Genomic DNA, 19,197 nt, shown 5'->3' on the forward strand with positions numbered 1-19,197 from the left:
AGGAAGGCGGTTCCGGCAAGCCAAGGGGGCGTTGTCGTGATGATTCCGCGGCCAGCGGATCGCTGCGAGTGGCCTTGAAGGCAGCTGCTGCAGGTGAAGAGTAGGCGGCGGGGCAGAGAGCGGCCTCCGAGGGTAAGGTGGCCGGCCTTGCGAAGGCGTGCGGGGCTGGCGCTGGTGGGAATGGCCCGGAAGGGAAGGGAGGCCGGGCGCCCGAAGGTGGCCCAGAAGGGCATGGACCCACCGCTCCTTCCCGTCTCTGGGCACTCGAGGATACCCGGGGGGTTGGCGGCTCCTGCGAGAGTCAGCGAGCATTTGCTCTGTGCCGGGCATCACAGGGGACGCGGACTGAGACCCAGACGGCCAGGTTCCGGGCCTGGGAGCCGGGCCTTCTCCCTGGTGCAGCTTCCTCGGCCTGGAAACCCCACCCGCGCCCTCTCATCTCCAGGCTTTGCCCGCTGGAAGCCAGCCCGGCCCGCCTCCGCTACGCGCTGCCCATCTCTCGGCTTCTGTTTCCTTCCACGCTGTAGTTGAGAGTAGCGCTTAAGACGACAGAGCCCACAGCCTAGCTCAGTTTCATTACGGTGTGGCCTCTTTGTGCCTCAGCCCCGCATCTGTAAAGCGAATGTCATAGCGGCACCTGCGTCCCTGGAACCTTGTCGTATTTCATGAGTTGGTGCATGTAAATCGCTTAGACTAGTGGCTGCCACTTAGTAAGTACTCAATAAACGTTAGCTCTTCTCAGCCCTTAAAACAGGGTCTGGCACACAGTGGTGGTCACTAGGTGTTTGTTGCTTAAATGAATGAATGAAAGTTGAGTGGAGGATGCACAGAGTATTGTGAGAAACCTTCACTCCCAAGGTGTGTGTATATGGGTGATAAGGTTTCACTCTGAAAGTGAGCAGTGTTGGGCCTGGAATAGAAGGTGTATTAGTTTGCTAGGACTGCAAACAAAATACTGGGTGGCTTAAACAACAGAAATTTATTATTTTCTCACAGTTCTGGAGGTTAGAAGTCCAAGATCAAGGTGTCTTCAGGTTTGGTTTCTTCTGAGACATTTCTCCTTGGCTTGCACGTGGCTGCTTTCTTGCTGTGTCCTCGCATGGTCTTTCCTCTGTGTTTTCACATCTCTGGCGTCTCTCTTTGCATCCAGATTTCCTCTTTATGAGAACGTCAGTCAGGTTGTATTAGGGCCCACCTTAATGGCCTCATTTTAACTTAATTACCTTCTTACAAGCCTGATCTCCAAATACAATCACATTCTGGAGTGCTGGGGGAACAGTTTAACCATAACAGAAGGAATTCACAGAAATGGACAAGGAGGGAAATACTTTCCAACAGAAGTGACAGAATGGCCAGGAGGCTTAAAAGCAGGGTGCTCAAGATGTTTTTTGTGTTCAGGGCACATATGTGTACTTCAGTCTTGTTTGTGCTCTCGTACTGTTTTTGGGTTTGGTTGTTGTTGTTTGTTTGTTTGTCCTCCTGAATACTCAAAGAAAGTGAGCCCTCTCATTTTTTTAGTCTGGCAAACTTAACTCACATTTCAGCATAGATGTGTCTTCCAGGAAGTTTTCCCTGACCCTCCCTCCCAAATTAATTTCTGCTTCCTCCATTTAATAACTTTGGTACAGGGCTGGGTGCGGTGGCTCACGCCTGTAATCCCAGCGCTTTGGGAGGCCGAGGCAGGCAGCTCCTGAGGTCAAGAGATAGAGACCAGCCTGGCCAACATGGTGAAACCCTGTAAACCCCATCTCTACTAAGAGTACCAAAATTAGGCGGGTGTGGTGGCGCATGCCTGTAATCCCAGCACTTTGGGAGGCTGAGGCGAGTGGATCATTTGAGGTCAGGAGTTTGACACCAGCCTGGCCAACATGGTGAGACCCCCACCCCTCGTCCTTACTAAAAATACAAAAATTAGCTGGGTGTGGTGGTGCATGCCTGTAATCCCAGCTACTCGGGAGGCTGAGGCAGAAGAATCGCTTGAACCCAGGAGGTGGAGGTTGCACTGAGCCGAAAGCACACCACTCCACTCCAGCCTGGTCAACTGAGCAAGACTGCGTCTCGGAAAAAAATAAAAAATAACTCTGGTACAGTGCAACGATACTTGTTTTTCCCACTAGACTGATGCTTCATGAAGACATGGATGACCGTATCTGATGTGTTTGCCATCGTACCTTCAGTGCCTAGCGCATAATGGGCATTGTGTAAAGTTAAGTGAATGATGGAAAACTGAGACACAGAGCCTGTGAAGAGTAGGGAACACATCTGTTCCGTTTGTCAGCATTCCATCCTCGCGACAATCTGTTGCACATGTTAGGCACACAGTATCTGTTTAACCCAATTGGCCTTCCCAGTATGATAAGAGTCAGCATAAAGCTAAGACAAGATTCCAGGTTTGTTGCTTCAAGCCAGTGCTTTTATGAGTAGGGTGGAGGTGAGGAGCTACAAGTAAGCCATTTGGAAAGTATGATGATGGGCAGACTCCTTAGGAGCCCTCTGAGGTAAGCTTGACTTTAAGGTGCGTGAACTGTGGGCCCTTGGAGAAGTAATCTATTAATGGCACTGCTGAAAAAACATCCACAAATTCTATCCAGTAGTATTTGACCTGTTGGTAGAATTGAGGGGCCTTTGCTCTAGGAGTCCTCTCTGCAGGTTGAAATTCCATTCTGGCTGTTGTTTTCTTTAGAAGCATTTCTTCATTCACATTGATCTAAACTTTTTCTTGTTTCTTTTCCCCCCATATTTTCATTTTTTGACGCCATTCATACCATCTTTCCACCATCACATTCCTTGTATAGATTTGTAGCTTTTAGAACTAGGAAAAAACCTCTAAAAGAGATCATCTAGTCCAATAGGGGACCTCTCCATTTTTATAGATGAAAAACTGAGGCCCAGAGTCTCATCCATCCAGAAATATGTATTGAGTGCCTATTATGTCAAAGACACTCTGCTAGGCACCAGAGATACATTGTTCAATAAGACAGATGGAGTCCATGTCTTCACCACAGAAAATTTTTACTGCTTGTCACTAGGTGAGTTAGTCGCAAAGATGGAAGAGAACCTTCTGCTCCTTCTCTCACGCTATAACACCTTGTGTAGCACATCTTAGTCCTGAATTGTGCAGTTCCTTAATGCAAAGCTTGTCTGTGGGATTACCTGGACAATCAGGCATAGGCAGTAGACTGAAGAGGCAGCTGATTCCGATCAAAGGAAACAGTGGTTATGAATGCGGCTTTGGTGTCAGATTCCCTGGCTCTGAATCCCACCTCTGTCCCTTATTACTTACCTATTTTTAGCTGTGTGACCATCTTCTCTGTATATGGTCAGGTTTTCTGTTGCTGTGTAACACTCTACCCCCAAATTTAGTGACTCAAAAACTATTTTATCTCATAATTCTGCAGGTTAGGTATTCAGGCAGGTGTCAGCTGAGAAATTCTTCAATTCTATGTGGTGTCAACTGGGATCACTCAGTGGCATTCAGTTGGAGGAGGGGCCAGCCTGGAGAGGTCAGGATGGCTTTCCTGGGAGCCAGCTGAACCCTTCTCTGTCTCCATGTGTTCTCTCTAGCTGGGCATCTTACAGGTGGCTCAGGCCTTCCATAGCCACTGTTCTGAAAGATGGGAAGTGGAAGCTGTTAGCTCTTTAAAGGCCTGGGCCTGGGAAATGAGCACAGCTTTGTAGCACAGAATCTGATTAAGGCAGAGCCTGTGCAGGAGGGAAGGAGACCTAGACTCCACTACCCCATGGGAGAATCATCGGAGAATTTGTGGCCATCTTAAATCTGACAAATTCCTCATTGTCCTCACCTGTAAAATGTGGATAATAGTAGCACCTATCTTATGGTAAATGAGTTAATAAGTGTAAAGGGCTTAGAATAGTGCCTGGCATCTAGGAAACATAAGTATTTGTCATAATCATTACTATTATTAGGTATAAGATACATTTTTGTTTATAATTGACAGAACACATAAGAAATGTAAGATACAATTTTTTTTCCAGACCTTTTTATAACCTCATTGGGGTTTCCAGACCTTTTAATAACCTTATTGGGGTTTCCAGACCTTTTTATAACCTTACTGGGGAGGTACAGGATTGACATCATGAAGTAATTTAGAGAACTATACAAAATGATATGGAATAATAATAATTATTATTTTGAGATGGAGTCTCGTTCTGTTGCCCAGGCTGGAGTGCAGTGGTGCAATCTCGGCTCACTGGAACCTCGGCCTTCTGGGTTCAAGCGATTCTCCTGCCTCAGCCTCCAGAGTAGCTGGTATTATAGGCATGCGTCACCACGCCTGGCTAATTTTTGTATTTTTAGTGGAGATGGTTTCTTCGTGTTGGCTAGACTGGTCTCGAACTCGTAGCCTTAGGTGATCCGCCTGCCTCGGCCTCCCAAAGTGGTAGAATTACAAGCATGAGCCACCGCACCCAGCCTCTAATTCCTATAGTAAAAGTAAATTGTGTAACAGTTAATAACTGCCTAGCATCATAACTCTGGGGGTCATTCCAAATAACTTTTTCCTTTATCACTTCTATAGAGCTAGAAAATGTCTAATTTTCTAATTAGACATTTACCTAATATACCTAGACATTTACATTTGTATAATTAGACATTTTTACCTAATTTTAACAGGTCTGTGGAGGAGGGTTTCGTGTGTGTGTGTGTGTGTGTGTGTGTGTGTGTGTGTGTGTGTGTTTAATGTCTTTTTTCCCGTGGGCGATAGCATAGCATAAAAGCATAGACTCCAGTGTTTGGGGGCCAGGATTCAAATCCTGCCTTTGGCACATAATAGTTGTATGATCTTGGATAAGTGACTTAAAGTCTCCATATCTTAATTGTTTCTCTTGTGAATGGTGGTAATTGGGTTCTTAGAGACTTGCTTCAGTTAATGGATGTTGTATTGATCCATTATCACACTGCTATAAAGTTGCTACCTGAGACTGAGTAATTTATAAAGGAAAGAGGTTTAACTGACTCACAGTTCTTCATTGCTGAGGAGGCCTTGGGAAACTTAAAATCATGGCAGAAGGCGAAGGGGAAGCAAGGCACATCTTACATGGCAGCAGGGGAGAGAGAACCGGGTGGGGGGAGCAGGGACTGCCAAACATTTTTAAACCATCAGATCTACTGAGAACTCACTCACTATCACAAGAACAGCATGGGGGAAACTGCTCCCATGATCCAGTCACCTCCCAACAGGTCCCTCCCCTGACATGTGGGGATTATAATTTGGATGAGAACACAGAGCCAAGCCATATCAGATATGATATGCTTAGCACAGGTCTGTGGTAAATAGTCAGTAAATGATAGTTTAAAAGAATGATAAACTTAGAAGCCTTTTCAGGCAACCAGCTTGGCAGGGGTGGGTAACTGATTACTCACTTGGCTGTTACTAGCCTTGAGGATTCAGCACTGGGAACAGTGTTCGCCGCCTACCATCGTGCCTTTCTTTCTGTACTCTCTTTTGGGGCAGTACCTCAGTGTTGCTCTTTGTCCCAGTTTTCTCTGAGTCTCACTTTGATCTCAAACCAGGAGATCTCAAACCAGGAGATCATGCCAATACCCCAAACCCTACACGTTAGAAACAAAGCTTTCCATAAAGAGATGAGGGGAATCAGAATAAGGTCTCGATTTGATAGGTGAGGTGATGGGGGATGAAATTTAGAGATTCTACATTGAAGGGGCATGCCATTGAAGAAGTTTAGCAGAGAGTTGGAGATTAGAACTGGTAGCTGAAGCTAAAGTTTCAAATTTAGGAATTGTGTTAGAACATGTAAAAGCCAAGAATGAAAGTGATTGTCAAGGGAAAGAGGAGAGGGCTATGGTGCTGCACCTTAAGGAACATCAATGTTTGCAAGGCTTGAGGGAGACAGGTACAGGATAGGGATGGGACAGATCAGGGACATAGGAAGAGAACCAGAAGAGTTCTGGGACAGGAGGGATTTCAGGATGGGAGTTGGCAGACCACATTGCCATGTGTGGCAGGAAAGCTGGAGAGGATGGTTGAGGACTGAGGAAAAGTCACTGTCGGGAAAGTCTGTTTCAGTGGAGTGAGTGGCAGCAAGGTTGCAAGGTGATATATGGTTTGACTGTGTCACCACCCAAATCTCATTTTGAATTGTAACTCCCACAATCCCTGCATGTCATGGGAGGAACCTGGTGGGAGGTGATTGAATTATGGGGGTGGGTCTTTCCCACGCTGTTCTCATGACAGTGAATGAGATCTGATAGTTTTAAAAACGGGAGTTTCCCTGCACAAGCGCTCTCTTTGCCTGCTGCCATCCATGTAGGACATGACTTGCTCCTCCTTGCCTTTCACCTTCTGCCAAGATTGTGAGGCCTCTCCAGGCATGTGGAACTGTAAGTCTAATAAACCTCTTTCTTTTGTAAATTGCCCAGTCTTGGGTATGTCCTTATCAGCAGCATGAAAACGGACTAATACACAAGGTGAGAAAGGAGTCATGAGAAAGTAAAGTGGGGCATGTAGATAGCTATTTTGAAAAGTATGAAAGAGAGACCTGTGATGACTAGAGGAACCTAGGGGGAGGGCTTTGTCGTTACCCTGTTTTGCTTTGTTTTCAACATGGGGCAATGTCAGTGTGTTTGTGTGGAGGAGCCACCAAAGGACAGGGTGAAGCAATGAAAGCTTCGCTGATGGAACCAGGTTCTAGGGGAGGCAGGAAGGCTCAAGGGGAGAGGGAAGGTTCATCTTGGGAAGGAGGAGGCATGTTTCATCCCATGAAGCCTAAGGGAATGAGGGAGGGGTGAGTGGGAAATTTGGAACTGAGAAAAATTTAAGGCACTATGGTTATCAAGTTATACATCGGTTCAACCTTCTTTTATTTTATTTATTTATTTTTATTTTTTGAGACAGAGTCTCGCTTTGTCGCCTAGGCTAGAGTGCAATGGCGCGATCTCAGCTCACTGCAACCTCCCCCGCCTGGGTTCAAGTGAATCGCCTGCCTCAGCCTCCCCAGTAGCTGGGATTATAGGCACTCGCCATCATGCCTGGCTAATTTTTGTATTTTTGTAGAAACAGGGTTTCACCATGTTGGCCAGGCTGGTCTCGAACTCCTGACCTCAGGTGATCCCCCCACCTCAGCCTCCTAAAATGCTGGGATTACAGGAGTGAGCCACTGCGCCCGACTGGGTTCAGCCTTCTTAGTGAAGTTTAAGTCACAGCCATTTTTATGAGTGAGGGAAAGAGACGTGATGGGAATGAAGACACTGGGAAGATCACAGAGGAGCAACCCCAAACCCAGAGCGGGTTAAGAATCATGGGGCTGGGTGCAGTGGCTCATGCCTTTAATCCCAGCACTTTGGGAGGCTGAGGTAGGCAGATTGCTTAAGCCCAGGAGTTCAAGGCCAGCCTGGGCAATGTAGCAAAACCCCATCTCTGCAAAAAATTTTTTAAATTAGCCAGGTATGGTGGCACATGCCTGTAGTCACAGTTGTGGTGGGAGGATCACCTGAGCCCAGGAGGTTAAGACTGCAGTGGGCTCTAATCACATCACTGCACTGTAGCCTGGGTGGCAGAGCTAGATCCTGTTTCAAAAAAAAAAAAAAAAAAGAATGGTGGGAAAGTAGGTGACAGCTCACCTAAGCCCTGATCTGGAAGGTGGGAGGGTCAGGTATAAGTAAAGTATTCTCAGGACAGAACCAAAGGCTTTCAGAGGAGAGCGCAGGCAGAGATCTGCAGTCCGCCTGCTCAGAATCACCGGAATGCCTGTGATGCGGTTACCAGGCTCCCCTGTAGACTGACAGAACAAAACCCTGGGATGTACCCAGGAATCTGCATTTTTAACAAGCTCCCCAGGTGATCCTTACGGATTATTACAGAATCCTTCCATATGCCAGATACTAGTCTAAATGTTTACACAGGTAACCACAATAACCTGTGAGATAGGGTGAGGACAGTGGGTCACAGAGAAGTCATTTGCCCAAAGTCATATAGCCAGTGAGTGGTGGAACTAGGTCTCCAACCCACTGGCCAAGAACATAGGTGGTTTGGGGAGCTGCTAGTAGTTCACTTTGGCTGCCACATACTTGGAGTAATGGGAGATAAGTCTAAGTGAGAAGTAAGGGGTGTGTTGAAAAGCTTAGATTTGGGATTAGTATTGTAGTGACTTTTTCAGCCATGCTTGAGTACTGAGAATGAAGGCAAAAAAAGCAGATGATGCCTTTTTAGATTTTTAGTACCATACTGCCTTTTTTTTTGAGATGGGGTCTCTCTCTGTCACCCAGGCTGGAGGGCGAGGGCAGTGGTGCCATCATGACTCACTACAGCCTCAACCTTCTGGCCTCAAGCAGTCCTCCTCCCTCAGCCTCTCAAGTAGCTGGGACTACAGGCATGTGCCACCATGCCTAGCTAATTTTTGTTTTTATTTTTCATAGAGACAGGGTCTCACTGTGTTGCCAGACTGATCTCGAACTCCTGGACTCAAGTGATCCTCCTGCCTCAACCTCCCAAAGTGTTAGGATTACAGGTGTGAACCACCACGCCTAGTGCAGACTGCCTAACCTTCATAGTCTTGTCCCAAACTGGTTCCATTTCTTCCAACTATTTCTCTTCCATAAATCATCCCCTACTAGACTGCGCCCTAGACATCCAAGACCGTGGCTTACTGGCCTGTGTATACCAGTGTCTAGCTCTTAACTGTTTTGTTTAGTCGTGCATCAGGCACTTTCGTGTGTGTGTTTCCCTCACTAGAATTTCAGCTGCATGAGAGTGGCGACCTGGCGTGTTTTGTTCATTGCTGTGACCCTACAGCCTGGCACACAGTAGTCAGTTGGAGAACAGAGGCTGAAGGTTGAAGCTTGCAGTGTCTACACAATGGCTTCCCATCTCATTTGGAATCAGAGTCAGGGTTCATAACAAGTCCCGCAGGCCTGGGCATGACCTGACCCTCTGTCCCCTCTAGGATGTCATCTCCTGCCACTCACTCAGCCACACCTGAGCCCAGCAAGCTCCTGCCTCAGAGACTTGGTGCTTGCTGTTCTTTCTGGCCCAGGTACCTGCACAGCTCCTTCCCTTCCTTCAGGCATCTGACCAAGTAGCCTCTTAGGGAGGCACAAAGGCACGAGTGAGGGGACCTGCTTCTTTGCGATGTCTCTTATATCATTGTCTGGTGATGTTAGGTATTTTGACCTGTACCTTATCTCCCAAAATAGGCTCCTAATTTCCCCGACTTCTAATTCAGTGACCTGTGTACAGGTGTTTGATAAATATGGATTTGATCTTAACCAGCTGGCTTTTCTTTCACCTTATACATTTTTATGTATGTGTATATTATTTTAATTTTTATTTGACATATTCCTAAGTAGATACCGAGAAGTACATACAATATTAACATGGTCATATTCTAGATTTGTACTGTTTAAATTCTGTGGCTTTTAAAATATAAATTACAATTTCAATCCCTCAGCCACATTTCAAGTTCTCAGTGACCATGTGTGGCCAGTGGCTACTGTATTGAGCAGTGCAGATAGAGAGCATTTCCATCATGACAGGTAATTCTGTTGAACAGCAGCGGTCTAGATGCCTCAGAAACAGAGGTGTGTGTGTGTGTGTGTGTGTGTGTGTGTGTGTGAGAGAGAAACTGTGATGAGAGAGTGAAGCACAGATCAATCAGTAAGTTTCAGTCCCATTTAGTTTCCAGTGAGGTCCTTAAGAATATCTGTCGTATCTGTGATTTTTTGCTGTAGGTCACCTGAATGGTTGAGCATGGACCCTGTTGCTACCCACAGCTGCCATCTGCTCCAGCAACTGCATGAGCAGCGAATCCAAGGCCTGCTTTGTGACTGTATGTTGGTGGTAAAAGGAGTCTGCTTTAAAGCGCATAAGAATGTCCTGGCAGCATTCAGCCAGTATTTTAGGTGGGTATTTTAGACTTCATTCTCCTAGCTGTGAATTAAGGGTAAAGCTCTTTTAGTATGGAAGTATTCATATTTTGTTCTCCTTGGATTTCACTATCTTTATCTTTTATAGCACATTGGATTTTGTAGGAGTTGTTTTAATTTTTAAGTTTGTTAACCATTTTTATTATTTTTGCTTTTGTGTTTAGAGTAACCTGAAAAGAAAAGAGGCTCTTAAGTAAAATGAATTTGGGATGATTGAAAGTATTTTGGTTGTTTGTCTTTCATTTTACTAATTCTGGCTAATGTCAGTCTTCTACATATATTTCTTATCCTTTCAAGATAAAATGATGGAGGAATTAAGTTCCCGGTCAGAATTTTTCTGTGATAAGAAATCAGGGGAAAAACATATTTGGTGTTGGATTTTTCTTTTCTTTTTTTTCTTAATTAAAGCATTTTAGTTTTTGTTTCTCATTTGAATATTCTAAGAAAACCTTATAATCATTTTGGCTTATATGAAATATTTATTTATAAATAATAATACTAAGAAGTTGTGTTTCAGCTTATTTAAACATTATTCTGTATTCCCAGCTACTCAGGAGGCTGAGGTGGAAGGATCCCTTGAGCACAGGAGTTGGAGGCTGCAGTGAGCCGTGGTCATGCCACTGTACTCCAGCCTGAGCAACAGAGGGAGACTCTGTCTCTTAAAAAAAAAAAAAAATTGTTAGAGTTAAGTGATTCTGCATAAGTTCATTTTGTTGTTAGCAGGTTTCTCTCTCTTTAAATACAAAGTCTTTTTTTTTTAAAGTACTTTTTGTTTCCAAAATGCATACCGTTTTACTGCTCTAGTAGACAACGTGGGACATGATTTGCTCTTTCCTTGATAATCCTGAATCATCAAATTGAGTCTCAGTTATTGTATAGACCACATTACACATTGTAATGAATCAGCTTCTTAAGGTAGGTAGCAGGTTTTGTTCCTAGGAAAAATGGTCGCAAACTCTTGGGTTTGCTATCACCTGTTTTTTCTGTCTTCCCAGGACAGTTAAATTTTGATATTGTGATACACAGGCTGTTTTGCGCTTAAAAACAGAACTGAAGGCTGTTTGGGGGAAATAGGTGATTGTATTTGACAAAATGTCTTCAACTTACTTACCTGAGCTTATTATTTCATACATAATACAAATTTGTTCACCTGTGACCTTGGCTTGTACCCAGAATAAAGTGCCTGGGCTTTAGAGTGCATTTTGGTCTTCACTAACTCTTAGGGTTTTTCTCACTGTTGGTTTTTGAACCACTGGCTGGCTGAAAAACCTAACAGCCAAATAAATTACTGGTTACAAAGGAATGTATGTGGAGGGTTGGTTTATTCTAGCTATTTTTTTTTAAGTTTTCTAGGCACTTAGATGTGGAAATATTTGTGTATATGGTTTATGGCCTAAAATATAATACTTGTCAGACTATGAAATAGTGAAAAGTATATATTATTTAATTTTGTGTACTCTATTAGTATGTATTTAATATATATGGATAATTACCTTTCGAAAAAATATTTAGAGCAATCTTTTATTTCTTAGATCATATTGGGAATTATCTTAGAAACTTCTTGATTTGTGGTTTATCAGTCATATAAATGTATGTAATTTTTTATTGTGTAAATTTGAGTATATTTCAAAATTTACTTTGAGATATATTTTGAAGTCTGCATACCCAATCCACCAATTTAATTCATCTGAATTATTTAGTTGGATGGTTTGCCAGGTTGTTTTAAAGGATTAAAATGTACTTATGTTAAAAGTTTTGACATTCACAGAAGGATAGTATTTTTTAATATTAATATATGAATGTTATTTATAAGAAAAAGATGGTGTGAATTTTTGGCACTGTAAACAGATATTCTTTCTTTTACCAGGAGCCTCTTTCAGAATTCTTCAAGCCAGAAGAATGATGTTTTTCACTTGGATGTTAAAAATGTCAGTGGCATAGGGCAGATCCTGGACTTCATGTACACTTCTCATCTAGATCTTAACCAGGACAATATACAAGTAATGCTGGACACAGCACAGTGTTTGCAAGTTCAAAATGTTCTGAGTCTGTGTCACACATTTTTAAAATCAGCCACTGTAGTACAGCCACCTGGCATGCCTTGTAATAGTACATTGTCTCTACAAAGCACCCTGACCCCAGATGCCACTTGTGTTATCAGTGAAAACTACCCCCCTCATTTACTGCAGGAATGTTCAGCAGATGCACAGCAGAACAAAACGTTGGATGAATCGCATCCGCATGCTTCACCATCAGTTAATCGTCATCACTCCGCAGGTGAAATCTCAAAACAAGCTCCTGATACTTCAGATGGCAGCTGCACAGAACTGCCTTTCAAACAGCCAAATTACTATTACAAACTCAGAAACTTTTACAGTAAGCAGTACCATAAACACGCAGCTGGTCCCAGTCAGGAGAGAGTTGTTGAGCAGCCTTTTGCTTTCAGCACCTCTACAGACCTTACCACGGTAGAGAGCCAGCCTTGTGCCGTCAGTCATTCTGAATGCATCCTGGAGTCTCCCGAGCACTTACCTTCCAACTTCCTGGCCCAGCCTGTGAATGACTCTGCCCCACACCCTGAGTCAGACGCCACATGCCAACAACCTGTCAAGCAGATGAGGCTCAAAAAGGCCATTCATCTGAAGAAGCTCAATTTCCTGAAGTCACAGAAATACGCAGAGCAAGTATCTGAACCCAAGTCAGATGATGGTTTGACAAAGAGGTTGGAATCTGCTAGTAAAAATACCCTAGAGAAAGCTAGCAGCCAAAGTGCTGAAGAAAAAGAAAGTGAAGAAGTCGTCAGTTGTGAGAATTTTAATTGCATTAGTGAGACGGAGAGGCCTGAAGACCCGGCTGCCCTGGAAGACCAGTCCCAGACACTTCAGTCCCAGAGACAATACGCGTGTGAATTATGCGGGAAACCTTTTAAACACCCAAGCAACTTGGAGCTTCACAAACGGTCTCATACAGGTAACTGATTCAGTACCCACAGGCAGAAGGGAAGGACGTAATGCGGATGCTCAGACACCACTGGCTCTTCTTGTTTTTGTAAGAAGTTTTGCTGTTGTTTGATGTCATTGATGATTTTAAACAAAATAAGGGGGATTAACTACTTTTTGTTTTATATTTTTGGTGATGCATCTGACTTAAAGTTTTGTAAATGGTTTTATAAAGTCACTTTAAAAAGGTGCATACTTTTAATTTTTATTTCAACTACATTTTTATATGACAAGCCATCTGTCTCTAAAGAAAGTATAGTAATTTTGGTGCACCCAGAATTTCAAATTAATTCTAAAATGGATAAGCTATATTTAGTTGTCTTTTTAGAATTAGATTAAGCTTATTTTTTGAAAGCATCATATAGGTTAATTTAGACTAACCTAATATACTTTGAATGATTCTACAAGTTCTCTTGGAAGGAATTTGAGTGTCTAATTTTTAAAATTCTAATTTGGGAGTCAGGAAGTAAACTTTTTAATAAGAATCAGCTTTAACCATTTGATATTCTCAAAAGAAAATTCTTCCAATTTAAACATTGAATTTTCAAAGTTTTGTTATCTTAATTCATGCCTCTTTCTCTTTCCCAAAAGATTTTTTTAAGGTATTCTCTCTCTCTCTCTCTCTCTCTCTCTCTCTCTCTGTGTGTGTGTCTCTCTCTCTCTCTATATATATATCTCCACACACACACATTATGTTATACAATACATATATATTACTTTTCTTCCTATAATTAAACATGAGTTTAATAGCACATTACAGATGAACAACAATTACCTTATAGGCATGAGAAGTAACATGCAACAGGATGCTTCCACAGCAGCTGCTTTTACGGTGTTTGTGTAATTGTGTTTGTTGATGTGACCTTCTGTTATCACTATGGATTCACAGTTTGCATTTTACGACCTTGTATTATTGGGAGATTTCTTTGATAATTGTGAAGGCCCTTTATACATTTTAGTGCATTTGAATATAAAGTACTGTTATTATCACTAGTAGTTCAAAATTATTCCACGTGAAGGCAATATCACAGACTTAGTTTTGCCCTGAAAAAACTTTAGATGATTCTGTTTGCCTAAATCTCCTACAGCCTAATGATTACTGCAATTTTTTTTTTTTTTTTTTGAGACAGAGTTTCGCTCTGTTGCCCAGACTGGAGTGCAGTGGCACAATCTCGGCTCACTGCAACCTCTGCCTCCTGGGTTCAATTGATTCTCCTGCCTGAGCCTCCCGAGTAGCTGGGACTACAGGCATGCGCCACCAATTTTTTTGTATTTTTAGTAGAGACAGGGTTTCACCATGTTGGTCAGGCTCATCTTGAACTCCTAACCTCAAGTGATCTGCCCACCTCGGCCTCCCAAAGTGCTGGGATTACAGGCATGAGCCACAACGCTTGGCCCGATGGCTGTAATTTTTTATTGTGAAACTTACCTGCTTAGCTTTTAAAGGAATCAAAAATTGTTTATTCTGGGAGAACCTCTTTGAATGACAGATACAGTCATGGCAAAGATGCTTACTGGCACATAAATATTCTACCGAGAAGGGCAGCAATTCTCAAAGTATGGTCTGGGGAACCCTTTTTGGGGGTCTGTGAGGCCAACACTATTTTCAAAATTGTCTAAGATGTTAGTTGTTTTTTCCTCCTCTTATGAGTGTACAGTTAGTCTGCCCAAAGCTACATGATGTGTGATGAAGTCCTCACCCTGGTGGCCTGTGAAGTGTGTATTTACCTGTTCTAAAGGTCACTCTGTTTTCATTTCCAGTATGGTAGATATCAATAGCTATAGCCCATATTAACAAAAGCTCTTTAGGACCTCAATTTTAAGGTGAAGGGGTCCTGAGGCCAAAAAGTCTGAGGCCTACTGGAGTAGGATTGTTAACCTTGGTCATTTATTAGTCTTAGTAACTGGTGACCTCTCTCTCTTTTCAAATTCTTATATTTCTTATGGGGGCTTTAACTTATTATCTGTCACCCCCAATAATTTCAGACATAAATGTAGTTTCATTTATTGCAATACAGAATTAATGTAATTATTAATTTATTATTAATATAAATATAATTATTCAGGGTCAAGGAAGCCATTAGACATTTTCAGGATAAAATAAAATTAAAATATCCTAGAATGAGCCCAGAAAGCTAGCAAGCTGCTTTCTTCAAGGTAGCAAGCCCCAACGATATAGTAGGAAGGGAAAACATTATTGTTACTTTTTAAAGAAGATCTTAATGAAACCATTTGATTTCAGGGAAATGGAGAAAATGAGAGGTTCTTAGTGTTCAAAGTCTATTCATTAGCGTTATATAGATTAAAGGCAGTACCATGGAGTGTGCTTTTAAATTCAGATCATGTTCTGTAGGCCACATTTCAGAACAGCTGTGGTTTTTTTGTAGTAGAGTACCATTCTTAGAATCTGTTCTGTCCCCAAGCGCAGTTACTTAGTTATTGAAATTAGAGGTGATAAAGAAGTCCGCAGAGGAGCACATCTCCCAAAATGAAATCTTACTTTCTCTCGTGAGAACCAAGGCAGGAAGACTGTGGTGAGGGGCTCTTTCCTTTTCACACTCATGCTTCAGGACGACCCACTGTGTTTGGGGCTCTCTGTGCTCATACCTTGTGTGGTGTGAACCAGTGACCCTGTGTCTGTTAGGATTGGTGGTTGGGTGGCATCAGGCTGAAGAATAGGTGAGCGGGATCGTGCTGTTCAGCAGGAAAACTCAACCACAGGAAAAGACCACTTCCAGAACGTGGGTCTGCTCTGGATGCAAATAAATACATTGATTTTAACATAAGTTTTGTTTGGAGAACAGTTTAAGTTTTTAGAGGAAAATATTACTTTTATCATCTCTGTGTAGAAATAAAGGCAAGAGAGAAATATAAGGAAGTAGACACTCCCTATTTTCATACTGTTAGGATGCAGAATGTAATGCCATTTTGAAAGTACATAGGAGGTCATTTAAACAAAAAATTATTGAACAAATACTAGTAATGATTTTACAAGTTGTTGTTTTGTTTTGTTTTAGGTGAGAAACCTTTTGAATGTAACATTTGTGGGAAACATTTCTCTCAGGTGGGAATACTCTTATTTATTGTTAATAATTGGAAACCTGCAACACAGTGTTTTTTTATTGGAAATAAGACATACTTTTGTACTTGTGAGAGAAGCCTCTAATGATGTCTGTAACTTAAAGACTTCAGAATAAATTAGGATAAATCGTTTTCAAGAAAACAGATTTCTAGTTCTTTGAGAGAAAAATAGCATTTTCATGTGTGAATTCTTACAATACTTTTTTCGCCTTGCTAAGGATGAGTCCAAACTTAGCATATGTCTTCCGTTTCATGAATGAAGTTCACAGTGAACCACCTTGAGCTTGGCGTACCTGGAGGCTGCACATTGTGCTGGGTTAGGCTGAAGACAACTAGGTCTCCTCATTCTTGTTGGGACTGTAGATTGTAGGATGTTGGAAAAAAAGATGAAACAAGTTTTGTTCCCTGTGTTGACTGCTACCTTTAGCTGACCTCCATTAAGGTCATTTGGACACATAGGCATTCAGTCCTTGAGGAAACGTTTGTTTTACCCTCCCATGGGCCAGGTGCTGTGCTGGGCATGGGACACAAAGAAACCTAGAGACCTAATGTTTTCTAGAAAATGGCTTGTGGGAACCTATTCTTTCTGAAACAGAAGGTAACTATTCACCGCCATGTGCAGTGCCCTGGGCTTCCAGAGGTAGATCAGATGGAAGCTGCTCCAGGGCGTGAGGGCGCAGCTCTTCAGGGCACAGTCACTGGCACGACTGTCTCACACAGCATGGTAGATCCTGTGGCAGCAGTGCATGCCTCTGGAGCTGGGAGGCAGGCCCCGCAGAGCTTGGAAATGGCAAGCGCCGTGTTTGCTCGCATTCCCCCTAGAGCAGACTCTTCCAGTTTCTCTTCATCTGTTGAGGGTGTCAGTTCCATTTGCTCACACACCCAAACCTGCCATCTTAATGACTCTTCACCCTCCCACTCTCTGAGTCCCTGCCTGCTGGGATTCACCAAGTCCTCGCCGTCTCTCATCGCGTACTCGGTCGGGTCATGTCCTCCTGAGCACTTCATTTCTCTGGGCCTGGGGCCATGTCTTCTCTCCCATCCAGGAGAACACCCAGCAGCCAGCAGATGCTCAGGAAGGATTTGATAAGCTGAGCTGAGTGCTCGTCCCTCCAGCCGCCATTCTTGATGAGCCTCCGCTTCTTCCTGCCAGCCTGGCCTGGGGTTCAGAGCTTGGCCTCTGGGGCTGGACAGTCTAGAACTGAGCTCTGCCTCTGTCAGGGCGTCACTACCCTGTGACTTTGGGCAGTCTCACCTTTTGCCCCTTCAGTTTCCTTATCTGTGAAACACGGATAACAAGATTAGTTAACCTCATAGAGTGTGAGGAGTAAATGAGGTAATAACGGAAAGTCCTTAGAGCAGGGCCTGGCACATAGTAAGCGCTCAAGAAACGCCAGCATTCCCTACCTTGTTGCCATCCGCTTTCTCCTCTCCTGTCCATCCTCATGACCCCCAGATGCCGGTCTTTCTGAGGCACCTCCCCGCCCCCACCGTTTTCATCTCAGCAGCTGTGGTTTGATGGGAAAAGCATGAGACTCGGACTAATGACCATGAATAATTAGCAATTGCGACTTCTCTGGGCCTCATTTTTCTAATTCTTAAAATAGGGATAATACTACTTCGTGGAACTAGTGGGAAAATGAAATGAAAAACTAGAGCTGAAAGCCCTTTATACATTTAAATTATGTTGAGAGTAGAAGTTCCATCCTTCTCATGCTTTCTCTGACTCTCCATAGCTGACCATATAAGTTAAAACCCGACATTCAGTCAGGCTGCAGTCCACCTCCACTCCTCTCTCCTGGCACGGATCCTTGGTGCCCACATCAGAGATTCTGATTCTGTGATTTGGAGTGGGGCTTAGGTATTGATGTTTTATTTATTTATTTATTTATTTTTGATGGAGCATCGCTCTGTCGCCCAGGCTGGAGTACAGTGGCGCAATCTGGGCTCACTGCAACCTCTGCCTCCCAGGTTCAAACGATTGTCTTGCCTTAGCCTCCCAAGTAGCTGGGACTACAGGTGCGTTCCACCACGCCCAGCTCAGTTTTTATATTTTTAGTAGAGATGGGGTTTCACCATGTTGGCCAGGATGGTCTCAAACTCCAGACCTCATGATCCACCAGGCTCAGCCTCCCAAAGTGCTGGGATTACAGGCGTGAGCCACCGTGCCCAGCCACGTATCAGTATTTTTAAAAATTCAGCAATTTTGGTGTGCAGCCAAGGTTGAGAACCACCACTATAGCTCTTGACCTGCACTTGCTCTCTTAAATCTTACCAAGGGTAGCCCTGCCCGATCCAGAAACCCTTCCCTTCTGTATTGGTCTGTGTACTTTTGTTAGGTTTCTGTGATTGTAGAGTCATACATAGTGATAGTTTTCAGATGTATATTGCTGCTTTATTTTCATAGTAAAGTATGAATTTTGATGAACAAGGAACTGTTTTAATGTTTGTTGCAAGCCTACAGTGTCCATGTGCTGTCCATGAGCTCTGCTGTGTGCCGGGAAGGGGGACAGAAATGGCCATGGCCTCCAGGAGCTTATTGTTTAGAGGAAGCAACAGACGTGTAAATGATCGAGTACAGTGAAATGTTGGAACTGCTGACAGTTATCTACGGGAACAGTGTGGGCAAAGAAAAGGCAGTAGTCCTTTCTACCTGAAAGGTGTGTTTGGGACAGCATGAGGCCATGAAATGCTTGAGAGATTGCTTAGGTGAGCCCTGCAGACAAGCAGGCACTGGGCAAGCCTGGCATCCCTGGCATGCTGGGGCAAGAAAGCAGTCAGATTGTCTGCATAGGGATGCGTGGTAAAGAATGCCCACCGGCCCATCCTCCACCGTATGCCTAACATTATTTTCTTGTAATGAACTAGAATAAATGTTTGTGGTTACATGGAATTGGAATGCTGTTGTATAAAAACATTTACAAATAAGAATCCCTCATCCTGCTTACTGAGAATTTAGTATTTAGTAGGTTAGTCTTTTTAAAATAGTTAACCGCAGCCTGCATTATGAGGATGGCATGCCAGCATAAGGAAGTTAGCATCATCTTAGAGTGACCACAGAAGCTGCATCTGTCCGTGTGACTGGACACTGTATGTGTCCAGATCTCTGCAGGGAAGAGTCATGTCATACTTTAACGGAAGAGTCATGTCCTACTTTAGAGTATGACTGAGTCGCAGTCAGAGGGAAGTGTTTCCTCTGTGGCGTAGAACATGGAC

At 43.4% G+C, this 19,197-nt stretch overlaps 1 protein-coding gene across 9 annotated transcripts in view; it reads left to right on the forward strand.

The window, feature by feature from the left end:
* Positions 1–30: 30 nt before the first annotated feature.
* The window catches only part of ZBTB49 (zinc finger and BTB domain containing 49), a 31,533-nt gene continuing 12,366 nt past the window's right edge, over positions 31–19,197 (forward strand). For 3 of the 9 annotated variants that reach the window (NR_138481.2, XR_007096382.1, XM_011513416.2), the window contains exons 1-3: positions 31–132; positions 9,707–9,877; positions 11,769–12,871. Coding sequence is in view for 6 of the 9 variants with exons in the window: in XM_011513416.2 (XP_011511718.1) it covers positions 9,726–9,877; positions 11,769–12,871 (1,255 nt within the window). In the remaining 3 variants the exon portion in view is untranslated. Of the gene's footprint in view, positions 133–9,706; positions 9,878–11,768; positions 12,872–15,917; positions 15,965–19,197 lie in introns of those variants that run through there. The other 6 variants (NM_145291.4, XM_005247951.5, NM_001330625.2 and 3 more) reach the window with 4 other exon arrangements.

This window comes from Homo sapiens, chromosome 4, assembly GCF_000001405.40.
Source record: "Homo sapiens chromosome 4, GRCh38.p14 Primary Assembly".
Lineage (NCBI taxonomy): Eukaryota > Metazoa > Chordata > Mammalia > Primates > Hominidae > Homo > Homo sapiens.